The sequence below is a fragment of the Homo sapiens genome, chromosome 5, assembly GCF_000001405.40.
Source record: "Homo sapiens chromosome 5, GRCh38.p14 Primary Assembly".
Taxonomy (NCBI): Eukaryota; Metazoa; Chordata; class Mammalia; order Primates; family Hominidae; genus Homo; species Homo sapiens.
The window spans coordinates 33,396,456-33,423,287 of NC_000005.10; the positions used below are offsets into that span (position 1 = coordinate 33,396,456).

The 26,832-nt window shown below is 38.8% G+C and overlaps 1 long non-coding RNA gene across 1 annotated transcript in view, besides 1 other annotated feature; it reads right to left on the bottom strand.

Annotated features, from left to right (window-relative positions):
* Positions 4,988-5,282: a silencer, noted in NCBI's record as "tiled region #14601; K562 Repressive non-DNase unmatched - State 24:Quies". NCBI's record gives its function as "represses a minimal TATA promoter and a strong SV40 promoter by Sharpr-MPRA in K562 cells {active_cell/tissue: K562}" and the evidence as "EXISTENCE:reporter gene assay evidence [ECO:0000049][PMID:27701403]".
* Positions 11,467-26,832, bottom strand: part of TARS1-DT (TARS1 divergent transcript) — a 32,713-nt gene continuing 17,347 nt past the window's right edge. The window contains exon 3 of the long non-coding RNA XR_001742630.2: positions 11,467-14,590. This is a non-coding gene — a long non-coding RNA (TARS1 divergent transcript). The remainder of the gene's footprint in view (positions 14,591-26,832) is intronic.

Here is a 26,832-nt window from a genome sequence, read left to right on the forward strand (position 1 = left end):
ATACTGCAATGAAGTATATGAATGGGCCTAGGAGAAGGTTCAGGAGCCTGACTAATGTTTGGCCAAGCAAAGAATCTTTGTCAGTCTTTCTTCCTAACAGTCCTATTCCACCATCCCAAAGGACCAAAAAGCAGCTAGTGAAGCAAAGTACCACATGAGTGGCTGAAGTCAGAATTATGTGCAAACTTGACTGCTAGTCAGTTATGTGATTTGTGCTGTACTGCAAAGAAATAAGTTGGCCATTGTTTTGTACATGAAACATTATGAATGTTTTATACAATCACATATTGTTGATTTTCACAGGAAGAAGAGAAAGCTCTTGAACACCATAGTGACAGATAGCCAGGAAAGGCTATGATTGATCCGGTTTTAATAACTATTCCACTAATTAAACATGGAAACATCAGCATTATTTTTTTCCTGGTTCCTTAGCAGCTGTTACATATGAATTTATAAAGGCAAGGGAGGCCATCTTAGTGGGTATTTGTGGGCACACCCAGAAGTGGAACACTGCAGTCTTGATGGAAGTTGTTGCTCAAAGATGTGATACAAATGAGATGCCTGTTTGCCAAATTCCATTTTTTTTTTCTTTTTCCTTCCTCCACTGACATCTCTGCTTTTGATTGGCAGGGAAATTACTTGATTCCACCAAGGTCATTACAGTGGAAATCTTAAAGCCAACTGGCATATTTATTGGGCATCTCTCATGGCAGTCTCTCCTGCTAGCCCAGAGGGAGATTACCGGGAGATTCTGGTCTGTCCTGCTTCTACCCAACAGAGGTCATGGAAAAGGGGCAGTCTAAAATTTGACATACAGGCAATGGAGCCAAGAATTAACTGAGGCATCCATTTCTTTCAATCCCAAATCTAGTAATTTCCTTTCTGACTTTGTCAACATTCATCCACATGGTATAAGCAACAAGGAACCACTGCCAAGTGCCCAGAGAGAGCCTCCAGGCTCTTGTTCTGAAGTAACTTTTGATCAGCCCCTCCCTTTCCAAACCCTTAATAAAAGAATTCTTGCTCTTCCACTTTTTGTCTAAGCTCAGGGTGGACCCCTTAGATAATAGTCCAGATTCAATGTTGAGGCAACACTGGGCTTGGCTGTCTTACAATTACCCTCCTCACCATGGTCAGAGGAAAATCTTCTGAAGCCACAGAAGTTCATCTTTTCAGATTTAAGACCTTCAATACATATTCCCCAAGGGAAAATATCATCAGTGATTTTCTTTTTAGTAATTCAAGGTGTACTTTTAAACCATTTTCTATTTACTTGGTATTTTAGGGTATATAAAATTAAAGTACATGCAATGGAGTTGGGAATCTGTATTGTAGAGAAAATAGCTGGGTTTTTTCACAGCAGAGAGAGTTTTCACTCTAAAACCCTGGGATCTGGCCTGCTGTATGGTGCCTGTAAGTGCTTAATAAATGTGAATTGAAGTAAATTGAATATAAGAAGCCAATTAAGTAACAAGATGAACAGAATAAGGAAGTAAAAGACAGGCTGGAGACCAAGTTAAGGAAGGATTCAGGGAACCAGAAACCTGGCCTTCAGGCACAGGTGATTGGTTACCCATCACTGACTGAGAAGATAATTAATGCAAAGCAAAAAGTAGAAATAAGCAAAATGTGCTGGATAGAGGAGCATTTTATAAAGGCAGTGTGAAAAAGAAAGCTGGAAAGGGAAGTTTAAGCTCAATATGGAAGATTTTTGAATCCCTGGCTTAGGAGAGAGGCCTTTCTCCTGTATGCAATGAAGATTCTCTGTAGAGAGTCAGGAGGTTGCCACTTCCTGCACCTTGTGAAAGGCAGCTCCAGTGGGCTCCATTTGCAATGTCAGCCCTACATTTACTATGACGTATGTTGTAAAATATGTAATAAGAAAGCCTCTGTCACTAAGGCTAAGAGGCAGATAGGTATGTATTTGTCTGTGTGTCTTTACTTGGGAAGGAAGCCTCAGAGATATGGCAAGGAAACAAAGAATTCATATACTCAAACTGCACTCTCTCTTAAATACATAAATAATATCTCACATATATAAATACCACTATTTTCAAAATGTATAGAGATATTGTGGGGATTATTAAAATGTAAATTAGTCTAAACACCTGGACTGAACTTAAAATAACCCTTTGCTGTTATGTATTTCTTCAGTCTGACACAGCTAATATCATGTAAGGCTCTGTGAGTGCTTTGTTGTTGAAAAAGAGTCTTCATCCTCTGGAATCTTGATAACCACTGCACCAAAGAAAATTCTTTCACTTGGAGTCTGATGAGTTATCACAATTCCAGGATATGAATACACACATTACAAAGAAGAAAACTGCTTTTCTGAAATTGTCAGTGTGGGGAGAATCTCCACGAGAAAGGGGAGGTGGATAGACCTTTCAGCCACAAATTTTCTAGTCAATAATTAATCTTCTCTTGGAAGAAGGTAAGTAAAGAATAATTGGAAAAAATATTAGATAATTTTCACTAATTAGTGGGAGACAGAGAAGTGAGAAGGGGTATGAACTCCACCATTATGGTAGGTTGATTGGATTAATGGCTCAATTTTTCACCTCTCCAAGCCCTTTGCCATGTAACCTTGTCATTCCCTCTTAACCTGGCCATGTGATTTGCTTTGTCCAAGAGAATATGAGCAGACATGATACTATAAGCATGGCTCTGCTTATTGCTCTTTCCCTCTGCCATGCCATAAGATGGACCTGCCTAGACTAGCAAGGATGGACAAGAACTGAAGAGAAGAAAAACTCCTAGTGATCCCAGTTGAGGTCATCCTCAATCAGTCAGTAACCAGTCAAACCCTAGGAGCAAGTCCAGCCAAGATCAGCAAAGCCACTGAGCCATCCCAGAGCTGGACACAAGAGGGGGACGGGCTGAGATAAACCAAGTCCAGATTACATTAGCTGAACCCCCACAAACTCATGCACAAAAACAAACATTCACTATTGTATGTCACTGATGTTTTGTAGCCATTTATTTTGCAGCATTATTATGGCAATAGATGACTGAAACTACCACTTACCAGTTCTGTGGCCCTCAAAAATAAAGTAGAGGTGATAATGGCACCTATTTCAAGTGTTGGCGTGAACATTAATTAAGATATTATGCATGAAGTTCTTAACACTGTGTGTGACACATAGCCTGCCCTCCAAAAGTATGTATGTGGGTAGCAGTATATGGATACCAAGAAAGTAAGAGTGGTAGTGTGTGTGTGTGTGTGTGTTTGTGTGTGTGTGTGTGTGAGAGAGAGAGAGAGAGAGAGAATGGAGATGGGGAAAGTGAAGGAATTATAGCTGCCTCACTATCCTGACCTCAGGGGGCATTACAGTTTTTTTTGGTTCAAAGAGCATAACAGCCAAGATCAAGTTTAAGCATTTAAATAAAACTACTGAAGATTCTCAGATCACAAAAGAAAAATAAAGTAATATGAAGCAAGATCATCTATTTTATGGAGTATCTTCAGTTATGTCATCTAAAATATCTCCTCCTATGGGGATGTCTCTTAATGTGCCTCCCTGCCTCCATACAGAAGTAGGGATATTTCCCACAATGTACAGTAGGGCCCTCAAATCTATCTCTAATTTTAGACTCACAAAGAGGCAGACTTAAAAGCAGCAGGTGTTCTCCTCCTGTCTAAGAAGTTTCTCCCAAAAATTAGGAGAATCAATGTGCTGTCAGAAGAATGATCCTTTCCAAAAGTGATATACTGAGAGACCCACATCCTTTAGAGGGACCCCTTACCTAGTCATAATGAAGTGGCCTTAACAAAAAAAAAAATCATGTCAGAACACACAACCCAATAGTATATACAGCTGAACAAGATGTACAGATAGGCACGGGGCATTGGAGAGATGAGGCAACAGATAAAAGAGAAAATAATGCTCATAAAGCCTTTGTCCATTATTTCTTCCACCTTTAACGCCCGGCTTCTTCTCTCACTACTATTTCCACTGTTCTATTTCTAACTTGTGCTTTAAGACCATCTTATATGAATTTCACTTCTCTGAAGCTTTCTCCAATCATCATCCTAGTTCAAACTTCTGTAGACATTTATGTGTAGAATAATCATAGATAAGAGAGAGAAAAATATAATCCAACAATCAGAATCCTAGTTATGCCACCCATCAGTAATGGAACCTTGGGCTAGTCATTTACTCTATCTGGGCCTCAGTTTTCTCCTCTGACAATGAAGATAGTATTAGTACCTACCTTGAACAATGATTAAACAGTCTATTAAAGTACTTGATACAGCCTGACATATGATAGGTGATACGGTTTGGCTCTGTGCCCCCACTCAAATCTCATCTCGAATTGTATTAATAATTCCCATGTGTCAGGGGAGGGACCAGGTGGGAGGTGATTGAATCAGGGGGGCAGTTTCCCTCATGCTGTTCTCATGAGAGTGAGTGAGTTCTCACAAAGGCTGATGATTTTAAAGTGTGGCACTTCCTCATTCTCACACGCACTCCCTCCTGTCACCTTGTGAAGAAGGTGCCTGCTTCCCTCTTGCCTTCTGCCATGATCGTAAGTTTCCTGAATCCTCCTAGCCATGCTTCCTGTTAAGCCTGCAGAACTGTGAGTCAATTAAACCTCTTTCCTTTATATTTACCCAGTCTCAGGTAGTATACTTTATAGCGGTGTGAGAATGGACTAATACATTAGGTGTTCAAGAAATATTAGTGATTATCATTATATTATTTTGTTATGTATTATTATCATTTATATATATATATATAACTGTTCACCTAAGGATTCTTAATTCACACTGAGAACCTCTTTTGTAGTTAGTTATTTACTCATCTTATATTTTCATTGGGATTTAAGTTCTTGAAGGTACATTGTTCCAAAATATCTTGTCTGTGGAAGTCAGAGAAATTTAAGGTATTCACAGCTTTAGTGTTAGTTGCTCTCTGGTCACAGAATTGCTAACCTCCCTAATAATGAAAGAACCCCTCTGAATGCAAGCCCAGCCATGCTGCTCTGCAGGGCTAGCTGAACCAGGCAGGACTCATGGTCTCTGTTTCCCTCAGCAATTAAGAAGGATCTAAATGAACATATCAATTCCCCAGCTTAGGAGATGGGGCCTAGGCAGGCCAGCCAGACAGACAACCTGGAGAGGAAGTATAGTTAAACAGGTGGTGACTAATATAACAAAACCTCCTTCCTGTAGCCTTAATAAAAACAGCAAACCCCAGACAGCCTGGATGCCTAGGTCCTGGGCAGCATTCAATTTAGGATGTTCTTTTCCCAGTGAGTCATAATTGCCCTGGTCCTGACACTTGTCACTAGAACAAGGCAAAATCGGTGTAATCACCAGAGCAATTGCTTCAGGAATACATTCTTTTAGTGATTTGGCTGGAGGAAGTTCAAAAATGCAAGTGATGGTTTTCAAATGTGGAGTGACCGGAGTTGCCTTAAGTACTGGGATTTCTAAATTTAAGGAAGAAAAGGGAGTAGAGAGGAGTTATAATTATCAACAAAAGGAAACCAAGTAATGAGAGACTCATCCCACTGTGGATAAAATCAGCTCTGATACTAACCATTGTTGGTCTGCATGAAAATATGAAAAAAATCATCAGATTCCCCAATCAAACAATTAATCATGGAGTTGGTCTGATAAAAAAACAAGAATTGGTGACCTATAAAACAATTGTCTAGGATAACACTCACCTTTTAAGATAAAGCCAGATGAAAAGATGACTAAGCAGGGGAATGAATCTTTGAGTGGTAGGATAGAGCTTAGAGCTCACGGCTGGTGATTTTATTTTCTTGCTGTTAATGTCATTACATTCCTTAAAGGTCCTATAGCCATCTGGATGAAATTAAAATGACAAACCAATATCATCGTCTTATTCCTGGACCACCAAATTTGTAGTTCCTGCTGCTAACGGTCCAATTTCCTTGTAGAGACCATCTAGTTAATTTCTTTGCTTTCTCTTGTTTTTTTTTTTTTTTTTTTTTGAGACAGAGTCTCGTTCTGTTGCCCAGGCTGGAGTGCAGTGGTGCGATCTCGGCTCACTGCAAGCTCTGCCTCCCAGGTTCATGCCACTCTCCTGCCTCAGCCCCCCAAGTAGCTGGGACTACAGGTGCCCGCCATCATGCCTGGCTAATTTTTTTTTTTGTATTTTTTTTAGTAGAGACGGGGCTTCACCGTGTTGGCCAGGATGGTCTCGATCTCCTGACCTTGTGATCCACCCGCCTCAGCCTCCCAAAGTGCTGGGATTGAAGGCATGAGCCACCGTGCCCAGCCTCTTTACTTTCTAAGAATTCCAAAATTATGTATCTTATACTAATTGGTTGACCACTATTCTAAAAAAAATAGGAGTAACTGCCTCTCCTCCCAAATACCAATGTCTTCCCAGAAGTGTGATTAGTACTTAAGAGAGGGAATAGGATAATAATTCATGTAAAACATTTATTATACTGTAATTAAAACCTAATAAATGCTAGCCATTGTTATTATACACGTATATGTTTCAGATATAATTACTTTATTAGCTTTATTACAGCTGATGTTCACACAAAAACAAGTATGCAAAACTTATCATATTGCATTATCTTTACAAAGTAAAACTAAACCTGACCCCAGGCTATCTCTGAACTAGAATGTTGCCTAATATATTGCAGGTGCTCCAAAAGAAGGTGCTAAATAAATAATTGAATGAATGATAGCTGGACAACAAGCACAAAGAAAGCTATAAATCCCAATCCTAGCAGAATTGAAAGCAGATGCTGTAGAGGCAGATTAGAGAAAACAAGAGAATCTCAAAGACTTGATAGTTTCTTTGAGACATTTGACAAAGTTAAGAATGGGATAAGGTGAATGCTAAAGAAAATAGAAAGGCAACTAGAGTTTCCTACACTCAGGGTGGGCAAATTATGACCTGCTGACTCAATCCAGCCGACTGCCTACTTTTGTAAATAAAGTTTTATTGGAGCACAGCCATGTTCATTCATTCATATATTGTCTCTGGCTGCTTTCACACCACAGTAGCAATGTTGAAAAGGAACTGCAACAGAGACCATATTGTCTACGAAACCTAAAATATTCACTATCTGACTATTATAGAAACATTCTGCCAAACCCTGTCCTATGTAAACAGAAGGCTGTACAAGAAATAAGCCATTATCATAACAGATTGCATGGATCTCTTGTGTAGCAAGGTAAACAATATTTACATTGCTATAATATAGACACTGTTTTCTAATTTTATATATTTAGAACCAGTTTATAGCTAAAACACAAAGTTCTTAATAATGATTAGGAAACAGGATACAAATACCAATACTATCAACCTTAAGAACATAAAAGTATAGATCTGAAAAGTTGGAAGCTGAAAGTGGGAGAGGAAAACTGTTAAGAAAGGACATGATTTTCCTCATTGTACAAAATGTGGAGTCAAGTGTAATTATCAATCAACATTTACAAGTGTAATCAATGAAATAATAAAAATGGTCATATGTTTGTATTAGGAATGGGTAAGGAGATCAAAGGCAATATTTATGAGCTAAAACCTAATATGGTAGGATGACAGTAGATAATGCCTAAAATATATAATTCATAATTTAGCAGTAAACACGAAGATAACCATCAGAAGAATAAGAAAGAAACAAACAAACAGGTTCAGTGCTATGGTTTGAATGTATGTGTCCTTCCAAATTTCTTATGTTGGAACCTAAGACTCAAAGTGATAGTATTAAAAGGTGGACCATAAAAACCGTAGAAGAAAATCTAGGCAATATCATTCAGGACATAGGCATAAGCAAAGACTTCGTGACAAAAATGCCAAAAGCAATTGCAACAAAAGCCAAAATTGACAAATGGGATCTAATTAAACTAAAGAGCTTCTGCACAGCAAAAGAAACTATCATCAGAGTGAACAGGCAACCTATAGAATGGGAGAAAATGTTTGCAATCTACCCATCTGACAAAGATCTAATATCCAGAATTCACAAGGAACTTAAACAAATTTACAAGGAAAAAAAAAAAAACCATTAAAAAGGGGGCAAAGGATAAGAACAGATACTTCTCAAAAGAAGACATTTATGTGGCCAAGAAACATATGAAAAAAAGCTCATTATCACTGATCATCAGAGAAATGCAAATCAAAACCACAATGAGACATCCCACACCAGTCAGAATGGCAATTATTAAAAAGTCAAGAAACAGTATGCTGGTGAGGCTGTGGAGAAATAGGAACACTTTTACACTGTTGGTGGGAGTGTAAATAAGTTCAACCATTGTGGAAGACAGTATGGAGATTCCTCAAGGATCTAGAACCAGAAATACCATTTGATGCAGCAATCCCATTACTGGGTACATACTCAAAAGAATATAAATCATTCTAATATAAAGACACATGTACACGTATGTTTATTGCAACACTATTTACAATACCAAAGACATAGAATCAACCCAAATGCCCATCAGTGATAGACGGGATAAAGAAAATGTGGGACATATACACCATGGAATACTATGCAGCCATAAAAAGGAATGAGATCATGTCCTTTGCAGGGACATGGATGAAGCTGGAAGCCATCATCTTCAGCAAACTAGCACAGGAACAGAAAACCAAACACTGCATGTTCTCACTCATAAGTGGGGGTTGAACAATGAGAACACATGGACACAGAGAGGGGAACAACACACACCAGGGCCTGGTGGGGGATGAGGAGTGAGGGGAGGGAATTTAGAGGATGGATAAATAGGTGCAGCAAACCACCATGGCACATGAATACCTATGTAACAAACCTGTACGTTCTGCACATGTATCCCATTTTTTTTAGAAGGAAGGAAGACAGACGAAAGTAAGAAAGAAAGAAAGAAAGAAAGAAAGAAAGAAAGAAAGAAAGAAAGAGAAAGAAAAAGAAAGAAACCTTTGGGAGGTGATTAGGTCATGAGGGCAGAGCACTTATGGATGGGATGATACCCTTGTCAAAGGACTTGAGGGAACTAGCTAGGCCCTTTTGTCTTCTGTCCCTTCTACTATCTGAGGACACAGTGTTTGTCCCTTCCAGAGGAAACAGTGTTTAAGGCACCATCTTGGAAGCAGAGAACAGGCCCTCACTGGACACTGAACCTGCCAGCACTTTGATCTTGGACTATCGAGCCTCCATAACTATGAGCAATAAACTTACAATGTGTATACATTACCCAGTCTAAGGTACTTCGTTATAGCAGCATGAATGGACTAAGACACTTGGTTAAAAGTATTAAAAATGGTGGCCTCAAGGGAAACACCTGGGAGAAGGACTGAAGATGGGGTGCAGCAGAAACTCCAGGTGAACCTGACTCCATTGGTCCATGGACCAATATTTGAGAACCACTGCTAGAGACAAGGCCAATTTTTTAGACATTTAGTTTTTTGAAGTTGTTTTCTGGTTCTTAGTGTGAACTAGGGTTATTGAAAGTGGGCAGCTCCATGTGACAGACAACAGAATGTAGCAAAAGGAATCATGGGTTCAAACCATGTTTCTACTCCCTTTCAGGCTAGGTGAAACCCCCTTAGGTGTCAGTTTTTCCATCTGTATAATAGGACTCAAAATTCTAGACTGTCTGTTACTCAGGAAAATTATCAAGGTGAAATGAGATAATTTTTACAAGAATGCTTTTTAAACTATGCAAAAATTATTTAAATTATAATTTGTTATTGTTATTCTTGATATGGTCAAAGGGGAGTCAATAAACCTGATAGCCACTCTGCTGCAAGAAGTCATTGCTGTTATTGTATTAGGTCCTCCTTTCCATTAAAGTTTTGAATGCACTTATTAAAATATGTTATCAGGAGGAAGGTTAAATTATTATTCAATTACATTATTCTGGTTTGGATCAGCACAAGAAGTAAACATTCTTTCTGCTTGAGGAGTTGGGCTCATACCCAACTACAGAAGCTGGAGTTAGGGGACAAATTATTCTCTTCCTCAACTTTCTGGTAAAGGGGACACAGGTGTAAAACCTAAGCCTGGATAATTGGATGCTTCTTCCTTGGATTTTTGAATAGAGAAAGAATGACGTAAAGGACAGAGACAATGGCTCAAAGGTAGGGGGCCAGCAGCTGTAGCTCAGTGTGCTCAGAGGCAGTCAGGTCAGTGGCCATACTCCAACCAGCTGTTCCTGTGACATGTTCTAAATTATGTACCTGTTGCCTGGCTGATATAGTTTGGCTCTGTGGCCCGAACAAAATCTCATCTCAAGCTGTGATCCCCATGTGTCGAGGGAGGGACCTGGTGGGAGGTGACGGGATCATGGGGGAAGTTTCCCCCATGCTGTTCTCATAGTGAGTGAGTTTTCATGTGGTCTGGTAGTTTAAAAGTGTTTGGCAGTTCCCACCTCACTCTCTCTCTCTCTCTCCTGCTGCCTTTTGAAGCAGGTGCTCACTTCTCCTTCACCTTCTATCATGATTGTAAGTTTCCTGAGGCTTCCCCAGCCACGTGGAACTGTGAGTCTATTAAAGCTCTTTTCTTTACAAATGACACAGTCTCAGGTAGCTCTTTATATCAGTGTTCAGGTAGCTCTTTATATCAGGGTGAAAATGGACTAATTCACTGGCCTTCCTTAGTTTATGTCATTTCTGAGCTTAGAAACCTTCTCCTTCTGTATTTTGTGAGTTACTCAGTATATTTTCAGTGGATTCCTTTCTTGCTTGAGATAGATTCAATACTTGGGTCTGATAGAACATTTGGACTAGAGTTTGTTAATCTCATTACAGTAGTTACAGTTGCCATTCATCTGAACCCTATAGAACCAGGCATTTTGGAGAGGGGTAAAAGAAAGGAAAATTTTAAATAAATCTAACAGAGCAATCTGAAATGAGCTTCTTTATAGCACAGAGAGGAGCAAAGGCACAGAGGGGATAGTCAGGGATGGGGTTCTGAAAATAAGGGAGGGGCTCCTCAAACAAGGTATCAAATAGCACCAAAATCAGGTGCTGCTTCCTACTTTATTATTTCTTATTAGCAATAGCATTCACCAAGACACTCAAAACCTGCCCCTGATCCACGAGACCCTGAACTGTGCAGACCCAGGGGTCAGCAGCACCAAAGTAAGAACTAGAAGCTAGTAACAGAGCTTCTTCAACTACATGAAGCAAAAACTAAAAGAACTGAAAACAAAATAGACAAAGCCACAGCTTGGGTTGTATATTTCAATACCTCTCTCTCATTAATTGATGAAACAAGTAAACAGAGAATCGGTAAGGGAATATGAGACCTGAGCAACACTATGAACCAATCTGGCCTGATTGACACTTATAAAACATCCCACCCAACAACAGCAGAATACACAGTCTTTATAACTACGCATACACTAGTTAGCAAGACAGACTGTATTTTTGTCCTTAAAATAATCTCAATAAATTTGAAAATATTAAATTCATACAAATTACGTTCTCTAGCTGCAATGTAATTTACTTAGAAATCAGTAACAGAAAGGTGTATGGAAATTTTCCAAACATTGTATTGCTTCATTTTGCTTATCTTTATTTTCTAAGTGTCTGATAATAAATGTGCATTTCCTTTCAAGTAAGAGAAAAAACAACAAAAGTTACTATTATTTAAAATATATACCTTGCCTTTAAGAGGCTTACAGTCTAGTTGGAGAAAGAGATGTCTAAATAACATAATACCTGGTGGAAAGGACTAAGCACTCTTGAGGAATGAGGGAGAATTGGTTGGGTCAAGTGTAGTTTCACACCAAAACTGAAACCACTACTCTCTCCAACATCCGGACCATCATCACATTGTTCTATCTGAACAACTGGGCCTACTGTCTTCGCTCATGATGATGTTCTCTCAGGGGATCCTTTATCTCTGACTTCCAACTCCTGCCCCTGGCACCCCAGTGCACCAGACCAGAGTATTGACGTTTGAACCTCAGTTGTGAGCTGAGTTCAAGATCCCTTCCACAAGTGAAGGATGCACCTGAACATTTGCTGCAGTGTCCTTGAACTGCAGGTCAAGGACGATTTCTAGAAGTCCCCTGGAAGTTCCTCTTTTTTTTTTTTTTTTTTTTTTGAGACAGGGTCTTACTGTTACCCAGGCAGGAATGCAGTGGCACTATCACAGTTTACCACAGCCTCAACCTCCCAGACTGAAACTATCCTCCCACCTCAGCCTCCTGAGTAGTTGGGACTATAGGCCTATGCCACCATGCTCAGCTAATTTTATATTATTTGTAGAGATAGGGTCTTACTATGTTACCCAACCTACTCTTGAACTCCTGGGCTCAAGCAATCCTCCCCGTTCAACCTCCTGAAGTGCTGGGATTACAGGCACAAACCACCATGCCAGGCCCCTGGAAATTCCATGCTAGAAGACAACCTGCTAGGAGAGAGAGCATCTCTAAAGCTATTGTATCCCCACTGCCTAGCACACAGTAGTTGCTTAGTAAACATTTGCTAATTGTGTCATGGATATATTGAGAATAAAAGCATGAGCCCAAGATTGTTTTGGTCGACTGGTTATTGCTGGGATATTTATAGACAAAGCCTCTTTCCAGTGTTTTCCACCAAACTTTCCTGTAGTGCTGAGCAGGGCTGAGCAAGCCAAGCAATGAGGAGATTGGTCCAAATTCTTCAACTCTTTCTCAGCATTCTGGATTCACTAAAACCCCAAACACATTTCTATCTGGCAATTTCGTCTTTCATTTTTCAACCCCAGTGAGTTTCCAACAAAATTGAATCTCTGTTGCAAATCTGTTTGTGTTCCACTCCATCCAAATGCCAGAACCATCTATTTCAAGTTAGAAGCCTCCAAAGGCTCATGCCTGAGTAAAGGATAGCTGGGAATCCCAATTTACTCTCAAACAAACTAAAAGTAAAAAAGCTAAGAGTAGATAGAGAATGTATTGCATAATGAAATCCAAACTGTGAGTACTAATTTGTGATGCAGAAAAATGGACACTGATTTAGGACTGAGATGCTGAGCCCAGAATCTGATTTTATTTCTTGATTAATTAAGGTATGTCACTTGGCCTTCTTGGCCTCAGTTTCCCCCCATCTTGTCTAGGGAAGCTGATTCTTTTATGGGAATCAATAAGTTCCCTTCAGCTTTAGTGTTCTGTGATTTTGCAATGCTGCTTTACAGATGCTCAGGGCCCTATCCCTTGGCAAGCTGCCTCCTCTGTCCCTGTCTTGTCTCATTGCTTGTCAGTGTGTGCTAAAACAATAAACGACTGGTTGGTTGCAAGAAAAGTATGCGTTGGATCAAGCAGATGTATCTGCTCTCTGCCCTCTGGAGAGAACATAGAAGGCTTTGATGTTGTCTGAATGGGTTCCACATTTTGACCTAGGGACCCTTCAATTCTAAGTAGGCCCCATTGACAAAATATGAAACAATTATTTACAATTAAAGAAGCATTCCATACCAAACCTGCCACCATCGTTTTATTTTAAAAAGAAAAAAAGCGTAATTCCAAAGATCAAATTTCTAATCCTGAAAATGGAAAAAAAGGAGGGGTGTTGGGGGGATGCCTGGAACCTGGTTTTCATGTACTGTTCAAGTTTAATATGAGGAAATGAGTCGGCTAAGTGAGGCAGCCAGTCTCCATGTTACCATGGAGCTAAATGGATTCTTGGTGTGTATCTGTGACATGAAACACATAGCCCCCATGGCACCCAACAGTCTGCTCATCCTTGGTCTCAAACCCAACCCTTTCTTTGGGCTGGAAGTTTTTGGTGGCCCATGCAAGTGGTTACGTACAGGACGCAGCACAATTTCAGTCACATGAAAATTGTTACCTCCCTTCCTCTTCCCTGAATGTGATTTTAAAATTATCCAGAGGCCTGTCTTCCACATTCACCCAACTTCTATAGAGTAAAACAGCATTTTCTGAAATGTGGTCTGTGGAACTTACATCCTGACAAATAAATAAAGTGATACATTTACTAACACGTTTGAGATGTGCTGCATAATATCTCCTTCTCTTGAAGTTTACTTAGCATATCAAAGGCTCTGAGAAGTTCCATGCACAGTAAATAGTGGTTTTGACACTGGTCAGGAAGAGCAAAGACTACTGGGCCAAAGGAACATTTCATGTCTCTGTATATAGTGTTCATATTTTCTGATCCCAAAGTTCCTCCCCAACATATCTTCCCCCACCAAAATCACCAGTTGGAAATTACCTTTCCTCCTCTGAACTACAAGAACACTTATTTGCATCTTATTTGCATAAACTTTTTAAAAATTATTTTTTGTATTAGATATATACACAGATATGTCTTATCTGTCCCATTTGCCTGTATGCTCCTAGAGAACAGAATCCTTGTTCCTTAGTCTTTATCTATCATAGAAGATTGTACATGAGAGGCTGGGTGCGGTGGCTCACACCTGTAATCCCAATGCTTTCAGAGGCCGAGGTGGGTAGATCACTTGAGGTCAGGAGTTCGAGATCAGCCTGGGCAACATGGCAAAACCCTGTCTCTACAAAAAATACAAAACTTAGCCGAGTATGGTGGTGCGTACCTGTAATCCCAGCTATTTGGGAGGCTGAGGCAGGAAAACTGCTTGAACTTGGGAGGTGGAGGTTGTGGTAAGTCTAGATTCCGCCACTGCACTCTGGCCTCAGTGACACAGTGAGTCTCTGCTAAAAAATAAATAAATAAATAAATAAAAAAGATTGTACATGAGAGCAATCTATACATGTTTAGTTCCTTGACTGAATGATAGACGGATTGAATGGATCAATCAATCTAGGAACTGGCAGCTTTTAAATATCTATACCATCTTTGGCAAATAACAATGAAATCTTCGGCTGGGTGCAGTGGCTCATGCTTGTAATCCTAGCACTTTGGGAGGCCGAGATGGGTGGATCACTTGAGGTCAGGAGTTTAAGACCAGCCTGGCCAATGTGGTGAAACCTCCTCTCTACTAAAAATACAAAAATTAGCTGGGCATAGTGGCATGCGCCTGTAATTTTACCTACTTGGGAGGCTGACACAGGAGAATTGCTTGAACCCAGGCGGTGGAGGTTGCAGTGAGCAGAGATTGTGTCATTGCACTCCAGCATGGGCAACAGAGCAAGACTGTCTCAAAAAAAGAAAAGAAAAAGAAAAAAAATTAAATCTTTAAATAAATTTTAAAAACCCATGCTATACTCAAAGCTGAAGTTTGGAAAGTTAAAATATTAACAGTGACTGTGTAAGCATCATATGTCTCCCCTTTCCTTCTCTCTTCACTCACTAATTCAGTTTCTGAGAAACAGTATATCATCACTCTTTCATCTTCGCATCTGGAAATGTGCTTCAGGTATTCATACAACTTATTTATCATAATTAAACTTGACTTCAGAAGAAAATGTCAATTTCAGAGAGTCCATTAGGGTGGGATTATATTACTGTTTATGAATAACATTTTGTAGGCTCAATGTACAGAAAACTATATAGTGTTATAGGCTCTAATTCTGAAACTTATTGGTTAGAATGGTGATTGTTCTGGTTAATTGAATATTCTAATTATTAAAAAATTACAAAATAAAAGCTCTACATACATTATCAATTTTCAAATAATTTTAGTTCCATAAAATGTACCTAACAGTAATGTTAAGCTGAAAGGATTAGATCAGTTTTGGAGAACATGAGAAACAAGCATTGATCTCTAGAAAACAAATACAAATAAGACAAAAATCTCCACCATCAATAGGCTTATTATATAGTAGAATTTCTCAAGCCTGGTACTATTAATATTTTAAACTACATAATTCTTTGTTGTAGGGTGCAGTCCCATACATTGCAGGATGTTAAACAACATCCCTGGCCCCTACCTTCTAGATGCCAGTGATACTTCCCCAGTAGTGACAATCAAAACAATGTCTGGTCATTGCCACATATGTCTCCTGTGGAATAAAATTGCCCCAGTTGAGAACCTCTGTAATGAAGAAAAAGATACTTAAAATTTTAACAGGAGTTCAGAGTCATCTTCTGACCACGAATTCTAATTTTACAGTTTGATATGATTTGGCTCTGTGTCCCCACCGAAATCTCACCTTGAAATGTAATAATCCTCATGTGCCAAGGGTGGGGCCAGGTGGAGATAATTGATCATAAGGGAGGTTTCCCCCATACTGTTCTCATGATAGTGAGTGAGTTCTCACAAGATCTGATTGTTTTATAATCATCTGTCATTTCCCCTGCTGGTATATTCTCTTTGCCTATTGCCATCCATGTAAGACATGACTTGTTCCTCCTTGTCTTCTGCCATGATTGTGAGGCCTCCCCAGCCTCCCAATTGTGGAACTGTAAGTCCATTAAACCTCTTTTTCTTCCCAGTCTCAGGTATGCTTCTGTCTGCAGTGTAAAAACAGACTAATACACAGTTCCATTGGATGTAGGAAATATAGGAAACCTTGGGCTAATTTTAGAATGAGTCTAAAACATAGCAATAAATGTTTGACGTTATATTTCCTATTCATAGGAGAATAAAAAACTAAAATATTTGCACTTTCTGTGGATCTGAATCAGCCACTAGGTATTCACTTTTTGTGCTCTTCTTTGCACCCAGCTTTCAGTTAGGAATGAAGAAGGTAGAAATCTCAGTTACAGTCCTATGTGCAATTCAAATCTACTTGAGCAGCAGAGGTAATGGAATTAAACTAAAAGCCATCTTAGAGATAACTTACCTACTCCTATATTTTTATATGAAAAAATAAGATCCCCCAAATCGAAAAGGCGATATAACCTAAAAACATTTAGTAAATGGACTTTGAACTAAAACAAAAATATCTTGACTCCCAGGCAATGGCTTTGACCAATAATAAATATTTGCTATCTGCCAAATAATGTGAGACAGACTGTGAGTGCTGGAGGTGTTCAGAGTGAAAGGAAACTTGAGGTGGGTGGGAATAGTTAGAGACAGAAACAAAGAAGAGGAGGGACTGAAGCCAGGCTCTGAAGAGCACAGGCAGCTTCAGGAAAAGGGTCTGGAGGGCCATTCTGGTATCTTTCCCATGGCCCTAATGCCAACTTGGGAATAATATGAGAGGACACAGAGCAGCAGAAAAGTGGCTGATATGAACCAGGAACTAAGTTCATGTTGGGAAAGAAGGAAAAGACGATTTGGGATAGCTTTCAAAATCATTCTGAGGAATCCCAGATGACTTTCTTTTCTGAGTACTGTCCTCACTTTTGCTCTATTCAAAGTGCCCCACTGGCCCAGAGAGGACCCATGGGAGCAGCTTTGCTGAAGGTGAAAGGCATCCCCAAGTCTTCAGTCCATGAAACACATCGACTTTATGGTTCAGATTATGAAACCACACTTCAAAGTCCTAGGAACAGAAAAAATTGTTGTGCTTCTAAAACGGAAACTTTTATCACTTTTCTCCCTTTAGTATTAACCTTGAAAATCAAAATGGACTTGATTCCTTTTGTCTTGCATAAGTTAAATTTTCCTTCTGTATCAAGGGATAAATCTAGCATCAGTAAATAGATTACATAAATCACAAAAAAATGAACGTGACTATATGAGCCAAGAAATTGAATTAATCCAATACCAAAACAAACAAACAAAAATACATTTAAAAACCTAAAACAAAAAAATGTCATCAAAACCTAGAAAAGATCTTGAAACATCTGGTATTATTACTACAACTATTATTTCCAAGGTAAATGAGATAGGGTTATCCTTCTCCCACTTTCTCAGACATTTCTCAAGCAAAACACCTCACTGAGTCATTGGAATGTTTTATCCACTGTTCGCACCTTTTAAAAATATTCAGTGAGCACCAACTATGTAATTTGTTTTTCCTCTTGTAATCAAATTTCACTTGTATGAAAACATTTGGAGAGGAGGAAATACAGACACAAAACTGGAGGAGACAGCATAATGTCTGTTTCAGATATGATTCCCAACCCTATAGACTCAGATCTGAGTCCAGTGCAGAGGGGACTGCAGGCAGAAGCCAAAGAAAATGTTTTCAAAGGAACTCTGTGAGGTGTGGGGGCCTACACAGTGCATTGCTATTTTGAGAGACAAAGCACAGAGCTGGGAAGTGGGGCCTTCACACCTCTTTGTGAAGCATTGGTCCATCCCAGTGAGAACTTTAGGAAGAGCATGAGGACGCTGCACCCTTTGTGGGACAAAAGCATCCCCTGAAAGAGCACGAGCACTTGGGACACTGTGGAAGTATTTTTTAAATTTTTATTTGTTAAGAACCTCAATGTTTGTTTGTTTATTTATTTATTTATTAGAGACAGGGTCTTGCTCTGTCACCCAGGCTGGAGTGCAATGGTACAATCATAGCTCACTGCGGCCTTATAGTCCTGGGCTCAAGCGATCTTTCCGCCTCCACCTCCTGAATAGCTGATATGCAAGGTGCGCGCCACCATGCCCAGCTAATTTTTAAAATATTTTCGGAGAGATGGGATCTCACTCTGTTGTCCAGGCTGGCCTTGAATTCCTGGCCTCAAGTGATCCTCTTGCTTTGGCCTTCCAAAGTGCTGGGATTATAGGCATGGGCAAATGCACCCAGCAGTTAATATGTATCAGTTGCTTTCTGTGCCAGCCATTCTTCTAGATGCTAAGGGATACAGCAATGAACAACAAACAAGGGCAGAAGAAGGCAATAAGGGAAATAAAGAAGTACATGAAAAACTGTTTATGAACTCATCTGGGACATCCCAGGAACTCCCAGAAATAACTAGGGAGTGGAGCTGGCAGGCTGCAATTGGAGGTTGAAGCTGTACAGATAAGAATATAAACCTGTTGGCTGGGTGCGGTGGCTCACGCCTGTAATCCCAGCACTTTGGGAGGCTGAGGCGGGCAGATCACAAGGTCAGGAGTTTGAGACCAGCCTGACCAACATGGTGAAACCCCGTCTCTACTAAAAATACAAAAATTGGCCGGGCGTGGTGCCATGCACCTGTAATCCCAGCTACTCAGGAGGCTGAGGCAGGAGAATTGCTTGAACCTGGGAAGCAGAGGTTGTAGTAAGCCAAGATCATTCCATTGCACTCCAGCCTGGGCAACAGAACAAGACTCTGTCTCAAAAAAAAAAAAAAAAAAAAAAAAAAAAAAAAAAAAAACAGAAAAGAAGAAAAAAAGAATATAAACCAGTTAAATTCTGCTTAAAATTCTTACTATGACCCCATTGATATATGCACACTGATTTATGCCTGCATGGATAAGGGCTGGAAGGAAATATATTAAATGGTAACAGTGATTATTTATGGACAGTTGAATTATGAATGATATGTTAAAATAATTTCATATAAAATCTATTTCCAAATGTCCTAGAGTGAATAGTCTTCCTTTATCCTCACAAGATACATTCCAAGATCCCCAGTGGATGCCTGAACCAAAACCTATATATACTATGTTTTTTTCTATGTATACTTACCCATGATAAAGTTTAATTTATAAATTAGGCACAGTAAGAGATTAAGAACAATAACTATTAGTAAAATAAAACAAGTATAACTTTACACTCTAATAAAGTTATGTGAATGTGGATTTGATAACCAAGATGGCTACTAATTGACTCATGAGCAAGTAGTGTCTACAGCATGGATCCACTGGACAAAGGGAGAATTCATTTCCAGGGCAGAATGATGAAAGATTTCATTATGCCGCTTAGTATGCTGAAAAACTTAAAACTTATGAATTGTTTATTTCTGAAATTTTCCATCGAATATTTTCGAACCACAGTTGACGGAGGGTAGTTGAAACTATGGAAAGCAAGACTGTAAATAAGGGAGAAGTACTGCATATGTTACTTTCATAAACATAAAAATTTTTTTTGGTCTAGGAGGCAGAGGTTGTGTTACTAAGTCATTAATTTTCCCTGGATAGTATGATGTCCTAGGGAAAACTCTGACCCTGCTGTATATTTAGAAGAAATGTATTTGATGATAAACATACCAAAACATTAGATTAAAATAAAATGTGTTTCTAAAGAACAGTACAGATAGTTGAAATGACAAATTTTTATGCTGCTGGATCGTAATTAAATGTTCACTCTTATTGCATCCTTTTCCAGCAAAGTAAACTTTACCAGAAATGAAAAACAAGAGTATAATTATCTCTCTCTAGGAATACTTCTAAAAATAAGCTATGTAGTTTCTTAGAAGATCAATTCTACATCAATAAGTAGATAATTAAGAGAACTCTCCAGACAATTCAAGAATTCAAATATCACATCTTTGCCTTGGTGTCTCTAAATATCCTGTTATCATAAACATGTACTTTCTAGTTCATTTGTAAGGAATTCCTCTTGAAACATCAAGGGTTCAAAAGTTTACTGTTATCCCTTTTGTAACCATGTACTTTAATATTATACATATATTAATTGATTGTGCTGGAGAACTATAATTCAACCTAGTGTCTCATACAGTTGGTATTTCTTAGTTAGAAAAAAAAAAAACAAGAAAACAAGAAGAAACATAATCTTGTTTTGCCTCTTTCACACCTAATTGTGATTTAAAAAGTAAGGTTAATTTTCCTAAAACAACCTGATGAGACTTTATTCCAACACAAGCAACATGTGCATACCTGGGTTAGATAAACGAATAAGATACAGAGACCTGTAACACACCTGGAGGGGCCAGGTTTAGGTAGAGAATAAAAATGAGAGACTAGCTTGGGGACCCCAGAATGTGGAGATTCCTGAAAGTGAGAGACTCTGGAAAGACAGCTGGATAGCACTGATGCCTAGCATCAGTGCTATCCCCAATGGGTCACTAATTACCACTTGATGATGATAATGTTAGTGGCAACTATACACCTGCATCACTGCATTGCTCCTCCCAGAAAAGGAACTGCAAATGCTGATTTGGCTTAATCAGACCTTCAACAGAGTTAATAATCCAAGAAGACCTCCAGAGAATTGTCAAGGAGGTTTATTGTCCATAAAACATTCATGACTCCAATCCAAAAACAAGGGCAAGCTCACCAAGCTTCAGAAGCCAGAATGGCTCCATCCTACAAAAAGATAGCCCAGGAGTTCTAGCCATGGCACTGCACATACATGGGTGGATAGTTTTGTTCTGGAAGCTCAAATCTTGGGGACTGTTTTGCATCCTTCCAGATCTGATTGATTAAGAGGTAACCTTTGAATTGAGAAAGTTCACACTGCTTAGGTCAGGTTCACTGGGAATATTTGCTGCACTACAAGACTTTCTCTGGAGCCCCTGTTCCCTTTCAGAGACCCTATGCTAAGATCTTCTTGAAAATCTAAGAGAAGGGTTGAGAAGAACATCATAAACCACAGCCAGCCTATAGAAAAGTGTGATATTTGGTTCTACTACACTGAAAATGTGGGAGTTTTACATTTTACATTTATGTTTTATATACATTAGGCATACTAATGTATATAAAGCTGCTAAATGGTATGTGTCACATAATAAGAATGCACACATTCCAACCAAAGTTGCCAAACTTTGGATTGTGAGCCATCAGGTTTTTGGTAAAGTTTTACTGGAGTACAGCCACATCCACCATTTACATATTGTCTATGGCAGCTTCCATGCTATGTCAGCAGAGTTGAGTATTTGTGATGGAGACCATGTAGCATTCAAAATAAAAAATATTTGCTATCTGCCCCTTCCCAGAAAATGTTTGTCAGTCAATACTCCACTATTTTTTCATTCAGTCTTAGCTTGCCCTGGGAGCCGGATAGAAAACACGAGGTATCGGGGGAGCTCTCCTCTCCCTGATGGAGATAAACCAACTTGGAATCTCAGTATACTGCTAAGTCTCATCAAATGAACTGTTCTGTCTGAGTAACAATCCAACAGTCTTATTGTAAAAATGCATACACTTTTATTATCACAAAGGCCATACAACCAAAGATGGAAGCCCTTAAGTAACTGTCAAATCACACAAGAGGATGGGAATGACTTTCATGTTGAATTACAATTCATCATCTCAATGGTGCTTGCCAAGGTTTTCTCATTGTTTCCATTTATGAAACACTGCTTTTTAATTTTACCTCTTGAAAGGGTAAAAGAAAAAAATATGCTTTGAGTTTTTTCACTTAAAAAAGAGAAGTTCAAGTAAGTAGTGCATCTTAATAGTACTATTCTTGCTTTTAAGGGAGGGGGAAAAGGTGGGAAAGCTAGTAAATATATTTGGAGAGAAGAGGAATCCCCCTTTAAGCTAAAATATGGGTGGAACAAGTATAGTCAAACATCAGAAAAAGCAAATTATCCGTATTACCAAGCTAAATTCCAAGATTCATCTGGAAAGTATGTTCTGTGACAAACTACTCTGAATGCTCTTCTATATCACTCACCAGTTGGAGTTATTAAGGTTTATATCAAATTTCCTAGTGTTTACTCCTGGGTCTTTTTTTATTTTTATTTTTACTTATTTATTTATTTTTGAGACAGAGTTTCGCTCTTGTTGCCCAGGCTGGAGTGCAGTGGCGCGATCTCGGCTCACCGCAACCTCCGCCTCCCGACTTCTAGCGATTCTCCTGCCTCAGTTTCCTGAGTAGCTGGGACTACAGGCATGCACCACCACACTCAGCTAATACTCCTGGGTCGTTGCAAATCCCTTACGGAAGCTTTTAGCTTTTAGGTGGGAAGGCAAGTCTGTCTAAAAAAAGAGAAAAAAAGAAAAATGTAAGAGACTGACGGAGGTAGACTTCATGCTCAAACTCAGCTCTGCCATTTACTAGCTATGTGTCCTTGGGCAAGTAGATCAATTTCTCTGAGCTTTGGCTTCCTCATTCATAAACTGATGACAATAATAGTTTCCACCTCTTTAGGCATATTCATGTATGTAAAGCAGTGAAGTGGTACCTGTCAAATAATAAGAATGCAAACATTCCAACCAAAATCACCAAACTTTGGTTTGTGAGCCATCAGTTCTTTTTGTATATAAAGTTTTATTGGAACACAGCCACATCCATTCATTCACGTATTGTCTATGGCAGCTTTCACTCTACATCGGCAGAGTTGAGTAGTTGTGACAGAGACCACGCAGCCTGCAAAGCCAAAAATATTTCCTATCTGCCCCTTTCAAGAAAATGTTTGCCAGTCCTTGCATTAAACAATTTTTTAAAACTATCATTATGATAACTTCCTTTTCTTATTTTATGTAGAGAGAAACTTTCACAAACTGACTTTCAGAGAAGTATAGCAACTTAATAAGAATGATCCAACAAAGTGAAGACAGGGCTTCTCTTCTGCTCTTCCCACTGCGTATTCCTTACTACATTTATAGAACCTTGAATGAGAGCATTTTTTCAGGAAGCACATTTAGCTTAGAGGTCCCATAACACATCTGCTATTTTTCCAACTGACTGGCATTCAATTCAGATTGAACTTACTAAAATGAAACATTCTCATTTAGGGTTGTGAAAGTGATTAGAAGTTGTGCATAGTTTGGTTCTTCCCAAGAACCCTACCCCAAAATATTCTTTTTTTTTTTTTTTTTTCGAGAAGGAGTCTTGCTCTGTCGCCCAGGCTGGAGTGCAGTGGCGAAATCTTGGCTCACTGCAAGCTCCGCCTACCGGGTTCGCACCATTCTCCTGCCTCAGCCTCCCAAGTAGCTGGGACTACAGGCGCCCACCACCATGCCCGGCTAATTTTTTTTTGTATTTTTAGTAGAGATGGGGTTTCACCCTGTTAGCCAGGATGGTCTCCATTTCCTGACCTCGTGATTCGCCCGCCTTCACCTCCCAAAGTGCTGGGATTACAGGCACGAGCCACTGCGCCCGGACATTTTTTAAAAAAATTCAACTTCTATTTTAGATTCAGGGGGGTACATGTGCAGGTGTGTTACCTGGGTATATTGCATGATATTCTTGATTTTTAAAAAATTGGCTCAGATGACCCCAGTGTGCTATCTTTCTCTGGGCTCCGTTTTCTTTGAAGTCCGTGAGAGTAGGAAACATCCCCAGCAGGGCTGAGTCCCTGACTGGAGCCTTGATCTCTGAATGTAAGTTTAACAAAAGCCTCAGGGTCACCCAAGTTATCATCAAGTGGGTAAGTTAAAAATGGAGGCGTGCAGACAAATTGGCCGTTTAAAAATTAAACTTATCCAGAAAGACAGTTCAACTCAGAAAGCATTTCACTTCTACAGCACCTTGGCTCACTTACTGATAATCTCTGAAGAGACATTTTTACAAAGTGAATTTGATGTGTAGCTATGTTCTATTCACTTTTATCACCAGAACTCCCTTTCTATCAAAATAACAAGAATTTGAACTCAAACTTTAGAAAGGAAAAAAAAAACAACTCAAGAGAGAAAAGGCGAGTGAAGCAGGATTTCTGTGGCTTTATTTCTTAAATTGAAAAAAGACAGCATCAGAACAAATGGTGCCTCCAGGGCTCTTGGCTGCCCTTTCTGTCCTTCCATTGTGTAACCTTTAGGAAACGACTTAGTTAAAAATAAGAAACTTTTAAAAAATAGAATTTTCTCACCCAGATATTTAATTGGTTTATTTGCAGAGATAAAATGTCCTTCTCTGATCTAAAGATGAACTTCCAAATTACATGAAAATTCATACAGAATGAGAAAATTTACTAAATTCAAAAAATGATGTTTTCGGGATTGGAGTTGTTGAAAAATAGCATCAAGATTTGAGCAATGGGAGGAGGTTTTCACTGTTAATTATTTTATCGCTAACATTTTGTCCAATTTAAGATAAATTTATTTTCTTTCCTAGATGGCTCTGGGATTAAAGCAAGTCTCAAACTCGAGGTAGAGTTTTGTAGCCAAGTTACAAGAGCTTGACAAAGTTTATCATGGGAACGCTGACGCCACCTTACAACAATGTGACTAGCACCACTATAATGTTATCAAAATATGTGGGAAATAATTTGTTTCAGTAATAGAGAAGAGAATATAAAATTGCCACACTGAAATAAAGTACATTTTCTAATTGTTTGCTGATTCTAACACAACAATTTTGCAAAACATGAAGTAATTTGAGGGAATGTAGAAATCCAGTTAGCACATACATGAGAGATATGGGCACGTGATATCCAACTTGTCTTGCTCCCTCTCTGAAACCAACTGGAATATTCCTGCAACATGCAACTTTTGTTTTTTAAGTATAAGTTCATCAAGAGGATTTAAAAAGAGGTAGAAAAATACTGAAGCCTGACCACAGAAAACAGGAAAAACAGCCGAAGGCCTCAATTTTCCAACCCAGGAATAGATAAAAAATACAACTGAAAATAGCTCAAGAAAGATATTACACAGGTCCTGGCTTTCCTTCATTTTGGAAGTGAGCAGGGAAAGCAGAACAAAGATGGGGAGAACGAATGCAAGAGCTGGTCTCTTACGGTCGCAAAGCTCCATCCTATTTGGATAGCCATGGTTTTACCTGCATTCATGACACATCACATCTCAGTATTGATTCAGAGAGTGGTCCCATTTTCTCATCTCTGGAAGAATCTCTGTGATCACTTCTTAACTTTTGGAAAGTAGATTAGTCCAGCTACTTCATCATCCACAGAGAAGTTAACCTCTGGGCTTCCCATATGTTCTAGCTCTTTAATGTTGAGCTCTTCCAGTTTCCGTAGCTCATCTCCACAGGGAGAGCTCTTCTTGGGAGAATGTGTCCATTCACGTTTTCTAACTATCATCATCTTGATAGCTTACAACTATATAGAACTTTCCATTTTCCACAACTCCTTCAAATATCCAACAGCACCTCTGTGCAGTAGTATTATTCTTCTCAGTTTACTGAGGCAACAGAGCCAGTATTAACAGGCTCACTATTTATATACATAATCCAACCTTACACTCACTCTGGAAAAAGGATTTATTGTAACTTCACAGTTATAAGAATTACATAAATGACTTCCCTATATAAGCAATATTTAACTGCTTTTGGACACCAAGACTTCATTTTGAACATTTTGTAGAAAATCCTTCTCAAAAGGCTTGTATGTCACAAAGCACTGTCAATATAATTTAACCTGTTCTCGAAGACACAAGGTTGTAATCAGAAACATCTGTTATTTTGTAATGATGTAAGATAGATTTGTTTCTTTGAGTCTAGCAATCCTCCCCTCTCCTCTTATCAGGCTATCTGCTGCAATTCTGCCTCTTACAGCCCTGTTTCTCTCTCAAATCCTCTCGCACAACTAAGTATTGGGAATCATAAATAAGAGAACCACAATTATTAAGAACTGCATGTTAGACAAAGTTCAAAGGATTACATAAAAATTAATGTTAATTAGTTTGGTTCAGAAACCTAAAAGTTATTTCACTTCTCAAAGAAAGCTGTTTTAAAAAACTTATTTTCTATCCAGAGCCATTTTAAGAAAAGAAAACCTGAAATTCCCAAAGTCCGAAATTCAGATAAGCTAGGTGTGTGTGAACTTTAATTTCCACTTTTATTCACATCTACCCAATTTCTTACATCATCCTGTAAATTATCTTCAAATAGGGTTTTAAGGCAGTCTAGTAATCTATGAGTAATAACTACTTTTTATCTATTGTTATTGATATTATATTGAATCATAGAATTTTTTAACAATTGGTTCCCCAAATTACTTTGAGTGATAGTTCAAGAAGAAAAAGAAAAAATTATCATTACCAAAGTTGACAGCTGATGTAAAAACATCATTTCAAACATCATTCATTTTAAAGAGAGATGGCTCCACTGGAATAGAAATCAGGAGGTCTGGTATTAATGCTAGCTAGCAGTGTGAATTTAGCTAAGTAATTTGATCTATCCAGTCCAAATAGTCTTTTTTTTTAATTAACAGATATGATTGAACAAATACAGTTTTTAAGGTCCTGCTCAACTCCCAGATCTTGATATTTACAAAAAAAAAAATTAGAATAGCAAAAATCTGTGACAAGCGTGACATCTAGTGGCTTTTCAGTTTATATACATCCTGACCTATCAAGAATTCCAACGAAGTCACCATT